Below are 22,315 nucleotides of genomic sequence, written 5' to 3'. Positions count from 1 at the left end.
ACTATGGGGAAGAAGAGGGCTTTTGGGATTTCATAGCTAGGATTAGGGATGCTTATATATTCTGCAATGCAAAGGACAGTCTCTTACAACAAAGACATATCTCTCTCTCTCTCTTTTTTTTTTTTTTTTTTTTGAGTTAAAGTCTCCCTCTGTCACCCAGGCTGGAGTGCAGTGGCTCAATCTCGGCTCACTGCAACCTCCACCTCCTGGGTTCAAGCGATTCTCCTGCCTCAGCCTCTGAGTAGCTGGGATTACAGGCACCCCCCACCATGCCTGGCTAATTTTTGTATTTTTAGTAGAGACGGGATTTCACCATGTTGGCCAGGCTTGTCTTGAACTCCTGACCTCAAGTGACCCACTTGCCTCTGTGTCCCAAAGTGCTGGGATTACAGGCATGAACCACCATGCCAGGCCAGAAATATCTCACTTGAAAATAATTAATAGAAGGCCACATCCTATCCCACCAAAGAGCTATCTTCTATGTATTTGCACTGGAGTAGGCTTTTATGACTTCAGATAACCTCCAACTGGCTTTATAATGAAAAAAAATGGTGAAAATTGTGAAAGTTGCAGATACCAGGGTGAAATCACTTTTGTCATACTCAGACAAAATAGGACCAGGAAGGCCCTCCCCCAAAAAGGAGGTTCATGCTTACATGTCTGAGATAAGAACTGTTTCCAAGGACTTTCTAAAAACCCTTTCTGTCCTTCATACATCTCCTACTTTGATAGTTTATCATTAGGCATTCTTTAGGCCTGCAGGAATTCAGATAAGATGATCTTGGAAGAACACTTGCCCAGTAATGTCATCTCTACCAAAGAAATGACAATAACTCTGCCTTTGGAAATAAGGAACTGTTTCTAAGCAGTTTATGTAAATATTTTTTGCTAATAATAGCTTCCCTTACCCTACCCAAGCCAAAGGCACTGATGGCTTGCCATTTCATACATTCCAGATTATAATCCTTATTTCTATTTTTGAGTAAACCCAACACAGTTAGAGACAATTTTCTCTTGTGTCTTTTTTTAGGTGGACAAAATATTTTGAAGAGTTTAATTTTATCTAGATTATTCAAAACTAGTTTTCAGTAATAAGGTTAGCTCTTTCTGGAAGACACAGACAGCTCTAGCTAAGGGTGAGGACGAAGGGGCGGATATTCTTCAGGATCTGTTATCATAGGAAGGTCACATTATTTTGAATAAGGATTGGGTTGCGTTTAGAGGAGCATAATGTGAGGTGACCTTGAACTGGTGGGTAAGAAAAATATGAAGATGACTGTTATTACCACTAATTAAATGTTGAGAATGGCTTTATGTTGTCAGAAAGTAAAACATGGATTTACTGACCAGAGTTTGGTCAGAAGTCCATGGATAATTTTGGAACAATGTATTATTTATAGCACTGCGAAGAAGGGACATTTCATTTAAAAAGCCACTATCAAAACTTTTTTGCTATTGACTTCTATTTATTAAATACTTATTTTTGTGCCAAGCACTGTGGTTTACAGAAATTATTTCGTTTGACCCTCTGTTATTTGGTAAATGCAGCTGATAGCAGTAACTTAAGCATACCCTGGGGTTATCCTTTCCAGCCTACCGCCACTGAATTCTCCCCTGTGCATAAGCCCCCAGTAAAACCCCATATCTCATTTGCTAGCTCCGTGTCTTTGTCAGCCTTTTGAACCTGCTGCCATCCCCACTGGAATTGATAGAGGTTTGGCACAACATCTGTCTGCGGAATCTGGCCATTCATTCATGCAGTTATAAGTAATAAGTAGGTAAGTAAAGATTTTTTTGAGCATAGGAGTTACAAGATGTGAGTTATACTTGAGAAAGATTAGCTCTCCCAGGCTGGGCACAGTGGCTCATGCCTGTAATCCCAGCACTTTGGGAGGCTGACGTGGGCAGATCACCTGAGGTCAGGAGTTTGAGACCAGCCTGGCCAACATGGTGAAACCCCGTCTCTACTAAAAATACAAAAATTAGTTGGGTGTGGTGGTGCACGCCTGTAATCCCAGCTACTCAGGAGGCTGAGGCAGGAGAATCGCTCGAGCCGAGGAGGCAGAGGTTGCAGTGAGCCGAAATTGTGCCATTGCACTCTAGCTTGGGTGACAGGGCGAGACTGTGTCAAAAAAAAAAGAAGATTATCTATCCCATATTATGTGGGATAGCTAATTAGATTGATGAGAAACTGGAAGCATTTAGTAGATAATGACTGTAGTTCAGTTGAGACAACAGTCCAGGACATAAACCAGAATAGTGGCAGTGGAGATGGAGAAGAGGGGGTGAATTTGGCTGTTTGGGTGAGATGAATATAATTAAAGGCTAAGTGAGAATAAGTTTATTTTAGATGGTGGGTTTTGGATGTATTGAGTCAAGGCTGTGTCTAATCAACTGGAGACGTTCTCTTTGAATGTAAACTTGTTTGAAATGCTGAGTATAATAGGGCAGGCAAGTTCCTAAGTTTGGTTCATCAGACCTCATTCAGACTTGGCGGTGGTGCTCAGTGGAGACAGTGGTTCTGGCTTAGGATCCTGTCTACCACTTCTCTGTCTAATCTTCAGCAATTTACTTAGCCACACAGGTCCTTAACATTCTCAGCTGAAGGATGTTCATAATGGATAGGATAATACATGTGCCTTGGTTAAAATGAGTGTTCAATAAATGATAATTATTGTTCTTGCTATACTTTATTTGCCTTCTTCATTCTCATTTTCTCATGAATATACAGTGGAGTTTTCCAGTGGCTACATGAGGTGTTACATGATATCACAAAAGATTGAATGCAAGCAGATATGAGAATCCTACTGTCTTCTATTAAGCCAGACATTAAAGAGATTTGCAACAATTTAAACAATGATACTTTTTCTTTTTTTTAGACTAGTCAAATGCTATACTTTTTCATTAAATTTTTTATTGTTGAAAAACAATAATATAAGCAACAGAAAAGATACTGTGTTAACATGTAACTATTATTGTCACTTAAAAACAAATTTATGAATATTTAACTTTTTCTGTTAATTTTTAATACAAAAATATTAATAGATATCACCCACATAAAGAAGCATCTCTGATGTACATAATAATCTTTCAAAGTTGTGAAGGGACCTTGAAATAAAAAAAGTTTGAGAACTGCTGATATAGAGGCATGAGAATGGTAACCAGTAGGGTAGCTTTAACTTCTTAGGATCTAAGCTCCATTAAACTAATTTTAATAAAATTGGTCTCCTTTGTGACAACTGATGAGTTGATGAAGAGTCTGGTAGAGGTGATCTGGAAGGGAATGATAAGGTGGAATTATAGCTGGGGACATGGAGAGAAATGATAGTCTCAGAAGGGGTGGTGTTTTATTTATTTATTATTTATTGAGATGGAGTCTTGCTCTATTGGCCAGGTTGGAGTGCAGTGGTGTGATCTCTGCTCACTGCAACCTCTGCCACCCAGGTTCAAGCATTCTCCTGCCTCAGCCTCCTGAGTAGCTGGGATTACAGGCGTGTGCCACCACATCTGGCGAATTTTTGTGTTTTTAGTAGAGACAGGGTTTCATCATCTTGGCCAGGCTGGTCTTGAACTCCTGATATCGTGATCCACCCCCCTCGGCCTCCCAAAGTGTTGGGATTACAGATGTGAGCCACTGAGCCTAGTGAAAGGGTTGTTTTAGACAAAGCTAGCCTCTCTCTCCATTCAGTTCTTCCCACTGTGTCGTACCACTTCCTAAGAGTGCTTTAGAATGTAGGGTTCTGATAATATAGTCGAAGAGTTTTTGTTTTATAGACATATCATACTTTTGGCATGCAATGGGGACAGTTCCTGGAAAGGGTCTGTTATCTGCAGAAGGCTATTTCACCACTTGAGGCTTTGAAGAACTGAAGATCAGCTGACTTAGTTTAAAACTATTCATGTTCCCAGCAGCTTTAGGATAGCAAACCAACTCTGGGTCATCTTTATTTAAAGCCTCTCTTTAATAACCTGTAGAGAGGGGCTTTTGTTAATTGTGACTAGTTCTTTAAGAGAAAGCGTAACGTGATGGTGTTCCTTTCTCTGTTCTCTCTTTAAAAATGGTTTAAAGAATTTACTGGGGTTGATTGATAACCAGCATTCACAGGTCAAGGCATGGGTCATAATCTATTTTCCAGTCTGCATATGTTGAAAGCGCCTTTGCAAAAAGGCTTTTTGCAAAGCCTTTTATAACTGAGGAAATTATGGCAGTGAATGAGAACAGACCTAACTGGCTCTGTCTTGCTTCTAATCTTTAAGCTGTCCTTGTTCATTCCTGGGCATATGCCAAACTAACTTTGGGAAGGAATCCAGTTCATGTTTTGACTCTGAAACAAAATTGGTAGTAGCCCTTTCCTGAATAGACCCCCTTCTTGCCTGGGGACCAGTCTGCCTTTGCAGGACCAACAAATTAGCTACAAGATTAGAAATTATGGTTTAGGGGTCATGCAGCCTCTGGCTCCAAGAGTCTGAACCTCCCCAAATTGCTCCTGGGGATAACATCACTATTGTAAAACCTAAGATCAGTGCTTGAGATATTTTGCAGAGCCTGGACTCGGTGGATCAGCTGATGCCACACAGACCGGTAATTGGGCTCACCCAGTTCTGCCATCCCACCCAGGAACAGAAGACAGCAAGAAAACCTCACGTCGACCCCCCATGATTCCATCTCCAATCTGACCAATTAGCACTCCCACTTCCCAAGCCCCTACCCGCCAAATTATCTTTAAAAATTCTGATCTCCGAATCCTGGGGAGACTGTGTTGAGTAATAATAGAACTCCGGGCTGGGCGCGGTGGCTTATGCCTGTAATCTCAGCACTTTGGGAGGCTGAGGCAGGTGGAATCACTTGAGGTCAGGAGTTCCAAACTAGCCTGGCCAACATGGTGAAACCCTGTCTCTGCTAAAATACAAAAATTAGCCGGGCGTGGTGGCGGGCGCCTGTAGTCCCAGCTACTGGGGAGGCTGAGGCAGGAGAATCGCTTGAACCTAGGACGGGGAGGCTGCAGTGAGCCGAGATCATGCCACCGCACTCCAGCCTGGGCCACAGACAGAGACTCCGTCTCAAAACAAAACAAAACAAAACAAACAAACAAACAAAACAAAAAACTCCGGTCTCCTGCACAGCCAGCTCTGCGTGAATTACTCTTTCTCCATTGCGATTCCCCTGTCTTGATAAATCGGCTCTGTCTAGACAGCGGGCAAGGTGAACCCACTGGGCAATTACAATGTCACTCAAGGTCTGAAATGGAATGTTTAATATTTTCAATTACATTAAAGAGAAGAAAAAAAGTAAAAAACAGGAAAACAAAAAACAAAATAAAAACAAAGATTGTTAAAAATTCAATTACATTGTCTTTTCCTAGCCCTAAAATTTTTCTTTTGCAAAAGAGTCTTGTGAAACAGATTAAAGGCTTAAAAAGAAACAAAACTCCTAAATTTCAGGGGTAATTTGCAAAATAAAAGATTTCTTTTGCATTATATCATTCACACTGCAGAAAGGTTTCGGTTCTATGCAATCTGATCTTTTTCCACTTTTTAAAAGTTAATTTGCTTTTACTTAGCACTATTATAGAACAGGTATTTTCAAATAGTTTTGCAATTAAACACAAAAACTATAATTTTTGTGGCGAAGTAGGTACTAGTTGGCAAACACTGTTCCTTAGTGTAAAACAGAATTCTAAGTTTTCAGAAATGGAGTCCTAAAACTAGCACTGGTCTTGCAAATCAAGTTCTGCAGCTTAGTTTGGGAAAGGTTCCCTTTTGGCTCAAGGCTTAACTGGCTCCACCCAGCTGCTGAAATGTGATACAAGTTGTAACAAAACCGGAAGTTGGTTAGGCTGCCTTCGCTTCTCAAGGTAAGTGTCACGTCTTTTTCCTTAATGTCAAAGCTCTTTGTAAAGCGTTAAAAATCAAATCCAGCTTAGCGACAGACTGGAGAGCGAGTGCCTGTGCTGACCAGGGCAGTCGGCCAGGCAGAACGGGTGCTGTATTCCGAAACTATGTTCTGGAGCTTGAATTGAGCTAATGAGTGTTCACTAACGAGTTAGGTTAATATGTCCTGTGACTTTGACTAACAAGCTTTAATTCCAAGATATGGGTGGTTATAAGTAGAGACGTGTTTGGGATCCTGAAAATCATTGACTTTATTCTTGCAGGAGTTTTTTTTTTGTTTTTAATTTTAAATTTAAAACTGTAGGAACTCTTTTTTTATATTTAAAGCTAGTGGCATGGTTACCTATATCAGGGTCACTTAGAACCTTATTTGGTTTTTAAAGTGGCTTTTTATCTAGAACTTTTAGTCCCCTTACCCTCCCACTCCCTAGCCCTGGTGTGTCGTTAAAATTTCAGAAAGACTCCAGGGTGGCAAGGTGTTATCACTGCACTTATTTTTGTGTGTGCTTGTCATACTGCCCTAAAGGGTAAAGGGGATTTTTCAAATTGTAAATGTGTTATTAGGAATATTTCTTAACATAGCTAAACTTTTCAGTTCAGATATTTTCATTTGCTTCTGTATTTTTATTTTTTATTTTTATTTATTTATTTATTCATTTATTTTTGAGACGGAGTCTCGCTCTGTCCGCCAGGCTGGAGTGCAGTGGCGCGATCTCGGCTCACTGCAAGCTCCGCCTCCCGGGTTCAAGCGATTCTTCTGCTTCAGCCTCCTGAGTATACTGCTGGGATTACAGGCGCCCGCCACCACGCCCGGCTAATTTTTTGTATTTTTAGTAGAGACGGGGTTTCACTGTGTTGGCAAGGATGGTCTCTATCTCCTGACCTCGTGATATGCCCGCCTCCGCCTCCCAAAGTGCTGGGATTACAGGCTTGAGCCACCGCGTCTGGCCTATTTATTTATTATTTTCGAGACGGAGTGTTGCTCTTGTGGCCCAGGCTGGAGTGCAACGGCGGGATTTCGGCTCACTGCAACCTCTGCCTCCCGGGTTCAAGCAATTCTCCTGCCTCAGCCTCCTGAGTAGCTGGGATTACAGGCAGGCACCACCACACCCGGCTAATTTTGTATTTTTAGTAGAAACGGGGTTTCTCCATGTTGGTCAGTCTGGTTTCGAACTCCCAGCGTCAGGTCATCTGCCTGCCTCGGCCTCCCAAAGTGCTGGGATTACAGGCGTGAGCCACCGCGCCCAGCCACTTCTGTATTTTTAAAAAAGTGGTAAGATTTGAGTATTATACTGGGATAGAACTGAAGTTGGGGGCTTAATTTGATCTATCAGCTTATTGAAAACAAAGACCTTTTAAGAGATGGTTTTGTTAGGTTGGAGAAGTGAGTTTTAGTTCGTCATTTAGTTAGCCAGTATGTTGATTTTTTTGGTGAAGTGTACTCTCTGTTTCACACCTGTCAGCTTTTTTAATATTGGATTTTCTCAAAATTCACATAACAATCACACTGTATGAGTACTGTTTTGAAGGTTGTCTGCTAGTCAGAATGAATGGAGATCAATGTGTAGGACACCTTTACTGATATCCAGAGGTTTACCAAAAGACAAGTCACCAAATGTGGCAGAAAAACATGATAAAATTTATTAGGAAAAACTAAAGCTTATGGAGTGAACAGTTATTTCAGGTTGGTGGAATTAGGCAAGAATCCAAGAAAGGAAGACAGTTTTATATGGGAGACTTTGTTAATGGTGGTCATTGTGCTAGATATTTTGGAGATAGTATTTTATTTAATCCTCATGCAAGCCATTGATATTGGTGGCATTGTCTCTAACAAGTGAGAAAACTAAGACTCAGTAAGGTTAAATAATTTGTCCAGGGTCACTATGGTGGTGCCTGCTGGATTACATTAATGGACAGATTCAAACCTAGGTCTGTGATATTTCAAAGTCCATACACTTCATTGTATCATAGGACAGTAGTTGACGGCGTTTTAAATGGATCTTGAAAGAGGGGTGAAGGTCTTCTTTATCAAAACAAACAAAAATAGTAAAAGTAACATAGAATGTTTGAAAATAGAAAAAAGAAAATATCTAACCACCTTCAAATCAGTTTCTGTACAGTCTTACATGTACATACTTTGTAGTGTTTTTTGAAATTATAAAACACTACATGCTTTAAAAAAAATGCACATTATAAAGGGCATTAAAGAAAGGAAGCCCACTCTTCCCATCCTGAAAACACATACCTTCCTAAGGGGTAAACACTGTTGAGAACAATTGGAAGCATGTATAAAGGTTTTTTTCTTTTCCTTTTAAGTTATGTATATTTTGGTACATTCCATATCATTTTGCAGTTTTCTTGTTTTGATTCCTCAGTGGAGCATGAGCATGTATCTTCTTAACATGCAGATTCATGTCTTGGGATTTTTGTGAAATGAGTTCATACTTGCAAAGTACTTAAAACAATGCCTACCTCCTAGAATGCACTCAATAATTATTAGCTGATGTATTTGTTATCTGTTTACTCTATTTCATTTTGTTAACGTTTAGCAAGTATTATATAGTTTGGGTATAGCGTAGTTTATTTTTGTAACCACTTAAATTATCCAACATTTTTGCTACTGGAAATAATCCTTGCTTAACTGTATGGGTTTTTCTGTAAGATATATTTCTTTTCTTTTCATTCTTTTTTTTTTTTTTTTGAGACAGAGTTTCACTCTTGTTGCCCAGGCTGGAGTGCAATGGTGCCATCTCGGCTCACCTCAACCTCTGCCTCCAGGGTTCAAGCGATTCTTCTGCCTCAGCCTCCCGAGTAGCTGGGATTACAGGCATGCACCCCCAAGCCCGGCTACTTTTGTATTTTTAGTAGAGAAGGGGTTTCTCCATGTTGGTCAGGCTGGTCTCGAACTTCTAACCTTAGGTGATCTGCCCGCCTGGGCCTCCCAAAGTGCTGGGATTACAGGTGTCAGCCACTGCGCCCGAACTGTAAGATACATTTCTAGAAATGAAATTTCCAGGTCAGAGGATAAACATTTTTAATTTACTAAGATATTGTTAACATCTAAAAATGTGACAGTTTACCATTGTCCCTGTGTATGAGAGTGCTCGTTTCTTCACATCCTTGCTTATATCAGATATTATTACTCTTTTGCATATTACATGAAATAATGGGGAATACACAGTTCTACCTAGTTTGAGCATAGTGTACAGAGATTATTGTATCTTATTTTTCAGTGTAACATTTATTTTTATATGGACAGGAATTTAACCAAATTCCTGTCCATATAAAAATAGGGGGTCCCATTTAGGGGAAAAATAGGGGTCCCATTTAGAAGGCAAAACTTCAGGAGAAAAAGAAGCTTATTCCTGGAATAGCAGATGGCACATTGTTATTACAGTATAGGGAAAAAAAATTCTTGAAATTTTGGTTGTGTAGAAAAGTATAAAATATTAAATGTCGAGTGCCTTTGCTTCTTAATCTAATAATTCTTGGGAAGCTGCTGAGTGTTTTGCGGGGAGAGGAGAGGTATAATGAGAATTGTACCTTAGGAAAATAATCCTGTGTTGAGGAGATACAGAAACAGGGAGACCAGTTGAAAGTGTTTTATTAATCTGAGTGAAGGTAATGAAGTCTTCATGCTTGGAGGTGGTGGCAGAAAGGAAAACACTAGACAAATGTAATAGAATGGAAAGTAGAAGAGAGTTGCAAGAGGGATAGGTAGAGTGCAGAATTGGTGGAGGTAGAATCTGCAGAGCTTGTGTGGAAGTTGGGGACCAAAAGAGTGTTTGGAATCCAATCCTGAGAGTTCGGGGTTTGAAATCCTGCTGATGAGAAATGTGTTGACAGACCACCATCAGATTAGGAAAGTGAGGTTCAAAAACTAGTCTGGAGGAAAATATGAATTTCACTTCAGACAAATTGAGTTTTTTGTTATCTAAACAGAAGTCCATACCCAGTTGGAAATCTGTGTCACAGCATTGTAGAGCTGTGGGGTGGAGCAATTGAAAGATTTAAGAAATACTATCCTAGAGGTTATAATTGAGGCTGTGGAAGTGATGATCCTACAGAGAAACAGGGCAAAAAAAAAAAAGGGAAAAAAAAAGAAAGAAAGAAAAGCCAAGAGAAAAAGTCTTGGAGAAGGATATTTTCATGAAAGAGACGTAAAAGAGGAACCAGACTTAATTAAAATATTTTTACAATGACTATTTCTGACATTTGATTTTGATTCTAGTTAGACTTCCTTACTGCCTCCAAAAAATGTGGTGGAAAAACATGATAAACTTTATTAGGAAAAACTAACGCTTATGGAGTTTCTGTGGAGAGAGCAGTCCCCCCAAAAGTCCATTCTCACTTTTTTATTTCTACCTTTGATTCTCCCATTGCTCCAATTCAAATCATGCTCATTCAGAATCCCTCTTTTTCCATAATGCCTTATTTACTTACTGTGTCAGCCTTAAGGGTCTGATTTGAAGCTATGGATAGTTTGGTGATCAAAACCTCACAAAGTAGGCCAGAGACCATACTTTTCACCTCTCATTTTCTGTAACTTTGGCAAGTGTCTTAATCAGTGCCCTATTTTACATATGGGGACAATAGTACCTCCCATAGTTCCCTAGGTTGTTCTGAGGAATGCATACTAAGTCCTTGACATGATGTGTTGTAAGCCCTTAGTAATTGTTAACTCTTCTACTATTATTTCTTCCATACCTCTAAATTACTATAGCGAAATGCAGTTTTAAAATTTCTGTCCCTGTGTGATCTTAGGCACTATTTTTTTTTTTATAAGCTCTGTGAGCTTCAGTTTCCATACCAGTAAAAACAACAACAGAAAAAACCCTTGTATGTTTCTTCCAAGGATTAGCATTCATACATGTAAAGCAGGACTGTGATGACTGGAATAGAGCAGGCACTTAATAAATAGTAACATTATTCAATTATAGGTTAATAGTATTTACTATTGTTTTATCTATTAGTTTTGGGTCTTTAGAGAAGGGGCCATTCCACTTAGCACTGAATTTTGTTTTAAGGAAAGAATTATTGTGAGGGCTACATGGAGTGATCCAAATGAAACCTGTATATCATGTAATAAGATATTTGTTTCCAATCATTTTTCCAGAAAATGAATAAAGAAAATGGAAAAATTGGTCAGGTGAGGTGGCTTGCGTCTGTAATCCTAAGACTTTGGGAGGCCAAGCGGGAGGATTGGTTGAGCTCAGGAGATCAAGACCAGCCTGGGTAATATAGTCAGACCCTGTCTCTACAAAAAAATTAAAAAATTAGCTGGGCATGGTGGTATGCACCTGTGGTCCCAGCTACTTGGGAGGGTGAGGTGGGAGGATTGCTTGAGTCTGATACGTGGAGGTTGTAGTGAGCCGAGATTGCACCACTGCTCTCCATCCTGGGCGCCAGAGTGAGATGAGACCCTTCCCCCACCCCCCCAAAACAAAATTAAAAAGAAAATTGAAAGATTACTTGCTGATGGTGCTGTGATTAGAGAAACTAGGATTAGATTGTAGAGTTTCAAATTACTTTGTTTTCCCAGTGTTTTTTTCTTCCTTTCCCCTTACTTTGTCTTACTTTCACTCAAACTCTAAAATCTTTTTCAGAAGTCTTTCCTACTGGCCAGGCGCATTGGCTCATGCCTATAATCCAGCACTTTGGGAGGCCGAGGCAGGTGTATCACCTGAGGTCAGGAGTTCAAGACCAGCCTGGCCAACATGGTGAAACCCCCGTCTATACCAAAAATACAAAAATTAGCCAGGCATGGTGGCAGGTGCCTGTAATCCCAGCTACTTGGGAGGCTGAGGCAGGAGAATCGCTTGAACCCAGGAAGCGGAGGTTGCAGTGAGCTAAGATCACACCATGGTACTCCAGCCTGGGCGACAGAGCGAGACTCCATCTCAAAAAAAAAGAAGTCTTTCCTACCATCTTAAGTTGTCAGATCTGACAGATCTTAAATTGGTATTGAATGTGCCACTTTTATGCTCTTTGTTTTTTAGAACCTTCTCTGAAAATGTCATAACTCTGATTGTTAATTTAAAAAAATCATTTTTTTCTTCACTTCCTTCTGTGAAAATGGAGTCTGAAACATTTTTATCTGGGGAAGTGGAAATACTTGACCTATTTTTCAATTTCCCTATAATTTGAGTTTCAGCTATCAAAGTCAACTTAGTTTTTGGCATAGAAGTTTTCTATGAAGGTAAAATTAAATTACTAGAAAGAAAAGGAGCACATTTTCTGAAATATTTTACGTTTGAACAAATTAAATACAAATGCAAGAAACATGCAAAAATCTCAGTTTATCTAAGCCCAATAGTGTTCAGAAGAAATTAGCACATATTGAGGAGATGGAAAGTTAATAGTGATATTATAAATAGTGGCAATTACCACTTACTGACAACTTGCTGTTTTCAGGCATCTATGGATTTTTACATTCATTCTTTCTGGAGTTTTAGTTCTATGAAATAAATCTCTACATTGCTATTCAGTCTCTTATAAAGCAGATTTAACATTCTGAATTAGGTAGGCGAACTTAGATTTCAACCTTTGTCCCAATAGCTCCCCACTCACTTTGTTTGTCCCTGTGAAATGTTGATCCTTGCTGGACCTGTTTACTTTTCACCTTCTCTCTAAACAGGGAACAGTGATGAACAGTGAAAAGAACATGGCTATTGCAGTTAGATTTTGGTTCAAATCCTAAAAGTATGTGTGATTTAGGGTATATTCCTTAACCTCAGTTTCCTCATCTCTAATAAGAAGATAAATCTGCTGCTTATAAGGATTCCATCAGACGTGGTTTCTAACTGCCGGGTCATCACTGAGTGTTCATTTCTTTTCGTCTTTCTCTATGTCTCCTTTCCTTTGACTCTACAGTAAAACTACAATCCTTTTCTTTCCCTTTGTCCACAAAATTTTATTGCTGTCTTTATATATCTTGTGCTTAGTCTTAACTTGCTGACTCTGTCAATCTCCTTATCCTTCTGTGGTTTTACCTATTTTTCTAAAAGTCTTCCTACCTAACTCTGCTACTCAGCAGGTGAACACCTATTTCCACCTCTATCCCCAGTCTAGGTTTTTGGTGACAATGCTAAGCCCACCAGGTTTGCCCCAAATCCTAGATGAAATGCTGAGCTAAGAAATGTACACTGTCCCCAGATTACTGGAGGAACCCGCCCCCAATATTTCAACATAGGTTCTTTCTATTTTCAGTAAGTGTCAGCTGGCTGAGAAATAAAGAGAGACAGTTTAAAGACAGGAATTTTACAGCTGGGCTGCTGGGGGTGACATCACATATCTGTAGGACCCTGATGCCCCCTGAGCCTCAAAACCAGCAAGTTTTTATTAAGGGTTTCAAAAGGGGAGGGGGTGTAAGAACAGGGAGTAGGCACAAAGATCACACGCTTCAAAGGGCAAAAAGCAGAACTACTAATAAGGGTCTAACAAAGATCACATGCTTCTGAGGGAACAGGACAAAGGGCAAAAGCAGAACTACTGATAAGGGTCTATGTTCAGCCGTGCAGGTATTGTCTTGATAAACATCTTAAACAACAGAAAACAGGGTTCGAGAGTAGAGAACTGGTCTGACCACAAATTTACCAGGGCAGAGTTTTGCCCCAACCTAGTAATTCTGAGGGTACTGCAGGAGACCAGGGCGTATCTCAGTCCTTATCTCAACCCCATAAGACAGACATTCCCAGAGCGGCCATTTATAGGCCTCCCCCCAGGAGTGCATTCCTTTCCCAGGGTATTAATATTAATATTCCTTGCTAGGAAAAGAATTTAGCGATATCTTCCCTACTTGCACATCTGTTTATAGGTTCTCTGCAAGAAGAAAAATATGGCTTTTTTTGCCCAACCCCGCAGGCAGTCAGACCTTATGTTTGTCTTCCCTTGTTCCCTAAAAATCAGTTATTCTGTTCTTTTTCAAGGAGCACTGATTTCATACTGTTCAAACACACATGTTTTACAGTCAATTTGTACAGTTAACACAGTTATCACAGTGGTCCTGAGATGACGTACATCCTCAGCTTATGAAGCTAACAGGATTAAGAGATTAAAGACAGGAGTAAGAAATTATAAAAGTATTATTTGGGAACTGATAAATGCCCATATTAAAATGAAATCTTCACAATTTATGTTCCTCTGCCATGGCTCCAGCTGGTCCCTCCATTCAGTGTCCCTGACTTCCTGCAACACCAGATTAGTTTCTAACTCAGTTTGGAATTTCAATTTCATTTTCTAATAGAAGCAATATGTGAAAGAAAAACCTAAACTCGACCTCAATTCATTATTAAAATTAAGCTGAAAGCTGAGTCATGCAAGCAACTGCATTTCCTTTTGTTTCAAAGCAGAGAGCTACAGATAAAAGGTTAGATATCTCCACAGGTAGCTACTGTATGTTCACCTTATCTTATGTAAAGTGCCAGCTTACTGAGCATAAGCCAATGCATACTTGACTATTCCCCTACCTGCTCATTTTGTCTTGGAACATCTGAATGACAAGTTCCTCTTTCCCCTCCAGCCCACTTTTCCCCTTTAGATACTGAAGCCCTCAAAGTCATCTTGGGAGAAAGGCACAGACAATAGACTGTTTTTGTGATTCTGTGTTTTTTTTTTTTTCCTCCCAGGCATTCTCCTTAGCCTGGCAAAATAAATTTCTAAGTTGATTAAAACCTGTCATAGATACTTTTTGGTTTCCAAATATTATAAATGGTGGTTCTATTTTCAGGCCAAAAGCCTAGAAATAAAAGCATGTTTAAGACATAAATTAATTAAAATATATTGCACTTGTGCCAAAATAAAAGAAAATAATGCCATTGTAATTCTCATAATAAAATAAAATGAAAACAATATTTAGTAGGAAGTGGCTATTTACCTTAAACATTGTAGAATGTACTTGATGGAAGAAAAAAACAAAAATGCAACCAATGGAAATTCTGAAAGGAGCTTCCAAGTGACTTAAGGATTACTGCGTTTTTATATTATGGGTAGTTAAACAACAACCTTTCTCATACAGAAGATTACTGTGAGAATGCTAATTTATTTGCCATATTTATACTTTTTGTTCAGGCTCACAAATGGAATGAAGTGAGAATAAGGCAAAATCCAGCTTCTATCTCCAAAAATTTTCCCTGTTGCTTAGCCTGTTTGTTCCTTTGATTCTGAGAACTTTTCTTTTTTACTGAAATTCTTGATACTCTTAATTTAGAATTTGATTCAAGGCTGAAACTTAATGGTCCATGCATGCCATAAAGTAATGTTCATCAGACTGCAGGTTAAGATCCATTGGTAGATCGTAAAATAATGCAGTAGGGTGTAACCAGCATAAAACAAAAAAAGGAAGAAATAGGAAACATACACATCTATAACATGTAGTAAAGGTAAATAATGTTTCATGAAATGTTTGTTGGGTTATAATGTAAAAATATTTCTTACTTTGGATGTAGTAAACGAAAATTAAAACCACTATATATTGCAAAAAAAAAAAAAGAGACCCTTTTCCAAATTATGTAGATATTTTATAGTGAACTATTTTGGCTAAGTTTTTGCTTTTTTGCATCTCAGTCTTCATAATTAAGAATTCCTTGTTGCCTCATACCTATGCATTAATTAAGACTCTCGGTACCTGCTTCACTCATATCTTAGGTAATGTAGAGTGGGTGTAACTGGGCTGAGTTCCCACAATTTTTTTGTGTGCATGTCAACTTTTGAACTCCTTTGATACTTTAATTTAAAATAAATGACTAACAAGAGCTAGAACTTGAATGCAATATAACTAGACATGATTCACTGTTTGCTAGCTTAATCATCTGACATGGTTTAAAAAGATTGTTTTCCTTCTTTTTTCTTATTCTCACATGTTCTTAGAGTTGCACAATACTAAGACGTTTAATGACCGATTTATTTTAAAAAGTCTTTTGTTAACACATACTCCTTTTTCCAATGACTTTCTTACATCTAAATATTTTTGATTGAATTCTAGTTTTGTCTGAATTTTTACTTTGTAATAAATATATTCTCTTTATTAACATCACTTGCTTCTGTGGCCCACAATCAAATAATAATTACATTTTCATTTAAGTACAAGAATTTTGTATTTACATAATGAAGAATATACTTGCTTTGAGGTTTTATCTTTATGTGAGATATATGTAGAACATGGTGTTAGCAGTCATCATACCCTTTTACTAAGCACTTGTCTTTCAGGTAAGAAAGAAAACTGTACAAATCTCATCAGGTTTGGGAATATTTTAGTTACAGAATCAGGATAACTGCTCTTTTGGTTTTTTAAAATAGTAAATCTCTCTGTCTTGGGTGGACAAAATAAATCTTTTTTGTTTTATCGTCTATTTTGTATAGACAACAGAATGGGAATATTAATTTAAGAAAATCATGCATAATTGATAGGAGTCCTTTCTGTGCTTAAAGGGTGATTTCATAATGTAATAGCTTATTGTTGACAGTCGATAATTTTAACTTAAATGTTTCCATGACTAACTCCTATTCTGTCATAATTATGTGATCTGTTAATATAGGTTGGCTAATGAATTTATGTATTAGTTTGAAAAAAAGTTGTACCTTAAAACATTAACTAGAAAACCATAATTAGCTATTATAATGAAAATTGAACTTTACCTTGAACAGTCAGCATTTGACAGAGGACAAAGAAGTTGCCATTGTACAGGTTCCTCTCTGACCTTGTTATATTTTCCTAATCGATGATGGGTGGTGGTGTCTTAGTCACTTCCCTTTCTTGTCTTATACTTCTTGCTCAAATAATTCCCAATATGCTTTTCCACTTTGCTTTTCTAAAATCGTAAAATTTTAGAATTGAAGGTGGCCTTGAATGTCTTCTGGTTCACTTGGTGTATTTTGCAACTGATGAAACAGATTTAGTGACTTGGTTGATGCTGTTCAGCTGTTTAGTGCACAGCAGAGACTGGATATCAAGTTTTGTTTCCATTTTCACTGACAGAAAGTTAGTGCCAAATAAATATTTGTTAAACTGAAGTAACTATTTTCACTATACCATTCTTTAGGTAAGTGGCACATGACTACATTTAATCTTCTTAATAATGGCGAAGTCGATTAAATAGTGATCTTCCTTCCCTTCCTTCCCTCTCTCCGTCTGTCCCTCCCTCCCTTTCTCTCTCTCCCCCTCCGACCCCAGGCTGGAGTGCAGTGTCACAATCATAGCTCACTGCAGCTTTGACCTCTTGGATTCAAGGAGCCCATCTTCCACCTCGGCCTCTTGAGTAGCTGAGACTACAGGCATGCCACTGTGCCTGGCTAATTTTTTTTTTTTTAAATTTTTGGAGAGACAGGGTCTCACTTGTTGCCCAGGCTGGTCTTGAACTCCTGGCTTCAAGTAATTCTCCGGCTTTAGTCTCCCAAAGTGTTGGGATTATAGGTGTGAACTACTGCACTTGGCTGCAGTTATTTCCTTAAATATTCTGTTTCCTATAATAATCAACCATATTATTATTATTATTATTTTCTCCATGGAGAAATCTTAAGCTCCTTTTATGTTGTAGATATTTTTCAGAAGCTCTTGGTTGGTTCATTTGTTTCTTTCACTCCTCCTTAAATGAAAAGAATTCTCCCCAGCTTTCATGTTTGATAAATAGTGGGGTATATGGTACTGTTGGACCCTATGCTGTTTACTCAGTAGCTCCTGGCATTAGGTGCAGGGCTGGTTAAAGTGTATATTTCCCAGCACAATATCTGGCGTTTAACAGGAATTCCTGTAGTTTAATTTAGTGAGGGATTTGTTTACGTAACTATATATGTGTTTAATGCTGTAAATTTCCCGTTAAGCACTGCTTTTGCGGCATCCCACGAATTTATTCTCTTAAATTTATTAAGTTGTATCTTATGGCCCAGAATGTAGTCTATCTTGGTGAACATTCCATGTGAGCTTGAGAGGAACGTGTATTCTGTTGTTGGATGAAATAGTCTATGGATATCCATTATATCCAGTTGACTGATGTTGTTGAATTCACCCATGTCCTTAATGATTTTCTGCCTTCTGGATCTGTGCATTTCTCTCTCTCTCTCTCTCTTTCTCTCTCTCTCTCTCTCTTTGAGACAAGGTCTCACTCTCTGTTGCTCAGGCAGGAGTGCAGGGGTGTGGTGTGACCATAGCTAATTGCAACCTTGAACTCCTGTGTTCAAGTCATCCTCCCTCCTAAGCCTCTTGAGTAGCTGAGACTACTTGTGTAGTCCACTGCACCCAACTATTTATTTACTTACTTATTTTTTGTTTGTTTTTACAGACAGTCTCATTATGTTGCCTAGGCTGGTCTCGAATTCCTGGCCTCATGTGATCTTCCCGCCTTGGCCTAACAAAGTGCTGGGATTATAGGCATGAGCCATGGTACCCAGCCTGGATCTGTCCATTTCTGATAGTGGATTCATCTATTTCTCCATTTAGTTCTAATAGTTTTTGCCTCACTTATTTTGATGCTCTATTGCATTGTTATGTCTTCTTGGAGAATTAACCCTTTTATTATTAGGTAAAGCTCTCTTTATCTCTGATAACTTTCCTTGGTTTGAAGTCTACTGTCTGAAATTAACGTAGCTACTCCTGCTTTCTTTAAATTAGTGTTAATGTAGTATATCTTTCTCTATGCATTTACTTTTAATCTATATGTGTCTTTATATTTAAAGTGGGTGTCCTGTAGAAAACACATAATAGGGTCTGTTTCCTGATCCACTTTGACAATCTGTCTTTTAATTGCTACATTTAGACAACTGACATTTAAAGTGATTAGTGATATAGAGGGACAGCTTGTTTTTTTTTTGGAGTCTTGCTCTGTTGCCCAGGCTGGAGTGTAGTGGCGTGATCACAGCTCACTGCAAGCTCTGCCTCCTGGGTTCACGCCATTCTCTTGCCTCAGCCTCCTGAGTAGTTGGAACTACAGGTGCCCACCCGCAATGCCCAGCTAATTTTTTTTGTATTTTTTTAGTAGAGATGGGGTTTCACCATGTTAGCCAGGATGGTCTTGATCTCTTGACCTCGTGATCCACCCGCCTCAGCCTCCCGAAGTGTTGGGATTATAGGTGTGAGCCACCGCGCCCGGCCAGGGATAGCTTGTTTTATGGCACTTCACTTTGTTGTGCTTTGCAGATAGTGTGTTTTTTACAAATCGAATGTTTGTCTTTTTAAAAAAAATCAAATTATAAAAAAATTTATAAAATTATTAAAAAAAGAAAAAGACAGGGTCTTGTTATGTTGCCCAGGCTGGTTTCAAACTCCTGGGCTCAAGCAATCTTCCTGCCCTTCCCTCCCAAAGTGCTGGGATTACAGGCATGAGCCACCGCACCCAGCCTTTTTTTTTTTTTTTTTTTTAAATCGAGACAGAGGTCTTGCTTTATTATCCAGGCTGGAGTGCAGTGGTGTGATTGTAGCTCACTGCCACCTTGAATTCTTGGGCTCAATGGATCCTCCTGCCTCAGCCTCTTAAGTAGCTGGGGTCATAGGCACGTGCCACCACAGCCAGCTAATTTTTTCATTTTTTGTAGACATGAGAGCTCACCATGTTGCCCAGGCTGGTCTTGAACTCCTGAACTCAAGGGATCCTTCATCCTCAGCCTCTCAAAGTGTTGGGATAATAGGGTTGAGGTTCCCTTGAGCCCAGGGTTTGGAGACCAGCCCCCTTGTCCTGTTCCTGGCTACAAATTGAAGGCTTGTGGCAACTCCTCATTGAGCAAGTCTGTTGGCACCATTTTTCCAACAGCATGTGCTCACTTTGTGTCTCTATGTCACATTTTGGTAAATTTCTATTTTATTATTTGTTATTTGTTATTTTTAATTAAAAAATAGAGATGGGGGTCTCATTATATTGCCCAGGCTGGTCTTGAACTACTGGGCTCAAGTGATCCTCCCAACTTGGCCTCCCAAAATGCGGGGATTACAGGTGTGAGCCACCACGCTTGGCCACACTTTTGCAAGTTTCTAAACTTTTTCATTATATCTGTTATGGTGATCTGTGATCAGTGATCTTTGATGTTTCTATTGTTTTGGAGAGACACAAACTGCACCCGTATAAGATGGCAAACTTAATTGATAACTGTGTATGTTCTGACTGCTCTACCAACTGGCTATTCTCCAATCTCTCTCCTTCTCCTCAGGCCTCCCTATTCCCTGAGGCACAACAATATTGAAATTGGGCCATTTAAGAACCCTATAATGGCCTGTAAGTGTTCAAGTGAAAGGAAGAGTCATATATCTTTCACTTTCAATAAAAAGCTAGAAATGATTAAGCTTAGTGAGGAAGGCATGCCAAAAGCCAAGAGTGGCTGAAAGTCAGGCCTCTTGTTCCAGTCAGCCAAGTTGTAAATGCAAAGAGAAAGTTCTTGAACAAAATGGTTACTCCAGTGAACATATGAATGATAAGAAGGCAAAACAGCCTTATTGTTGATATGGAGAAAGTTTTAGTGGTCTGGATAGAAGATCAAACCAACCACAACATTTCCTTAAGCCAAAGTCTAATCCAGAGCAAGGTCCTACCTTTGTTTAATTCTATGAAGGCTGAGAGAGGTAGGTCCCTAAGAGAGAGGTCCCTGCTCTATCTCACCATCCCTTATATCTTGTCATTTATTTTGCTGATATAGAAGCATACGAAAGTAAGCATATATAAACATATAAAAATAATTATATGTATTATTATTTTGAACAAACTTTCATGTTAGACTAAGTGGAAGAAAAACATTTTTACTTTACCTTCACTTATTTCTTTTCCAATGCTCTCCTTTCTTTATGTAGATCTGAATTTCTGACCTTTATTGTTTTTCTTTTCTCTTAGGAATTTCTTTTCACTTTTCTTGCAAGATAGGTTTTACCAGCAACACATTCCCTCAATTTTTGTTTGTCTGAGAAAGTCTTCCTATTTCTTCTTCACTTTTGAGAGATAATCTTTTGGGGTATAGAATTCTATGGTGCCACCTTTTCCTCTCAACACTTTAAATATTTCACTCTACTCTCTTCTTGCTTGTGTGGTTTCTGAGCAAAAGTCAGATATAGTTCTCATCTTTGTTCCTTTCTTTTTCCTCTGGCTTCTTTCAGGATTTAAAAAAACACTTAGATTTCTGTAGTTTGAAAATGATATGCCATATTAATCAGGGTTTTCCACAGTTACAGATTAAAATAAGATTTTATTTATATTTATTATAGATATTTATTATGGAAATTGACTTGTGATTCTGAAAGCCCACAAGTCTCAAAATCTGTTGTCTACAAGTTGGAGAACTAGGAAAGCTGCTGGAGTAGTTCAGTGTAAGCCTAAAGGCCTAAGAACCGGGGGAACCCATAGCGCACCTCCTGTTCAGGTCTGAGGGCCTTGGGTTGGGGAAAGGATTGCTGGTGTAAGTCCTGTGGTTTTAAGGCCCCAGGACCAGGAACCTTGATGTCTGAGGGCAAGAGAAGAGGGATGTCTCAGATCAAGAAGAGAGAGTAATTCCCTCTTCCTCTGCTTTTTTATTCTATTTAGGGCCTCAGAGGATTAGATGATACCTACCCACTTTGGTGAGGTGATCTTTTTACTCAGTTTCCTGACTGGGATGCTAACCTCTTTTAGAAATACATTCATAGACACTTCCAGAAATAATATTTTATCAGCTATCAGAACATCCCTCAGCCCAGTCAAGTTGACATATAAATTAACCATCATATATACCTAGATGTAGTTTTTTATTTATTATTTATTTATTTATCCTACTTGGTATTGTGTGTCTGATAATAGTTTGGGGGAAATTCTCAGTCATAATTTTTTCAAATAATTCTTCTGTTTCCTTCCCTCTTCTCCTTCTGGAATTCCGATTCCACATTTGTTGTACCTTTTGTAGTTCCACAGTTCTTGGATCTGTTCTCTTTTTCAGTCTTTTTTTTTTTCTTTTCAGTTTGATATTTTTCTATTGAGATATCTTCGGGCTAAGAGATTCTTATCTCAGATATGTCCAGTCTACCCACAAGCCCATACTTCACTTCTTTTAAAGTGTTTTTGATCTCTAGCATTTCTTTTTGGTTCTGAGAATTTCCATCTCTGTGCATTTGTTCTTGCATGCCATCTACTTTATCCATTGGAGCATTTAGCATCTTAATCATAATGTTTTAAATTCCTGGTCTAATAATTCCAACATCTCCATCATACCTAAGTCTGGTTCTGAGGCTTGCTCTATTTCTTCAAATTGTGTTCTCTGCCTTTCAGTATGCCTTGTAATTTGTTCTTAATAACTGGACATGATGCAGTGGGTAAAAGGAACTGCTGTAAATAGGCCTTTAATAATGTGGTGGTAAGGAGAGGGAGGAGGAGAACTGTTCTGTAGTCCTGTGAGTAGACCTCAGTATTTTAGTGAGCTTATGCCCCTGGAGTGTGAACTTCACAACCGCTTCAAGGTTCTTCCCCCACTTAAGTGAAACAGG

The 22,315-nt window shown here is 38.8% G+C and overlaps 1 protein-coding gene across 8 annotated transcripts in view, besides 1 other annotated feature; it reads left to right on the top strand.

The window, feature by feature from the left end:
* Positions 1-5,826: 5,826 nt before the first annotated feature.
* Positions 5,827-22,315, top strand: part of FRRS1 (ferric chelate reductase 1) — a 62,666-nt gene continuing 46,177 nt past the window's right edge. For 5 of the 8 annotated variants that reach the window (XR_946655.2, XM_017001271.2, NM_001361041.2 and 2 more), the window contains exon 1: positions 5,827-5,855. The gene's annotated coding sequence lies outside the window, so the exon portion shown is untranslated. Of the gene's footprint in view, positions 5,982-6,668; positions 7,166-22,315 lie in introns of those variants that run through there. The other 3 variants (NM_001013660.4, XM_011541451.4, XM_047420239.1) reach the window with 2 other exon arrangements.
* Positions 14,117-14,206: an enhancer, noted in NCBI's record as "active region_1358". NCBI's record gives its function as "activates an Ori minimal core promoter by ATAC-STARR-seq in GM12878 lymphoblastoid cells {active_cell/tissue: GM12878}" and the evidence as "EXISTENCE:reporter gene assay evidence [ECO:0000049][PMID:35858748]".

Source organism: Homo sapiens, chromosome 1 (assembly GCF_000001405.40).
Source record: "Homo sapiens chromosome 1, GRCh38.p14 Primary Assembly".
Lineage (NCBI taxonomy): Eukaryota > Metazoa > Chordata > Mammalia > Primates > Hominidae > Homo > Homo sapiens.
This window is presented reverse-complemented; position numbering and strand designations above follow the sequence as displayed.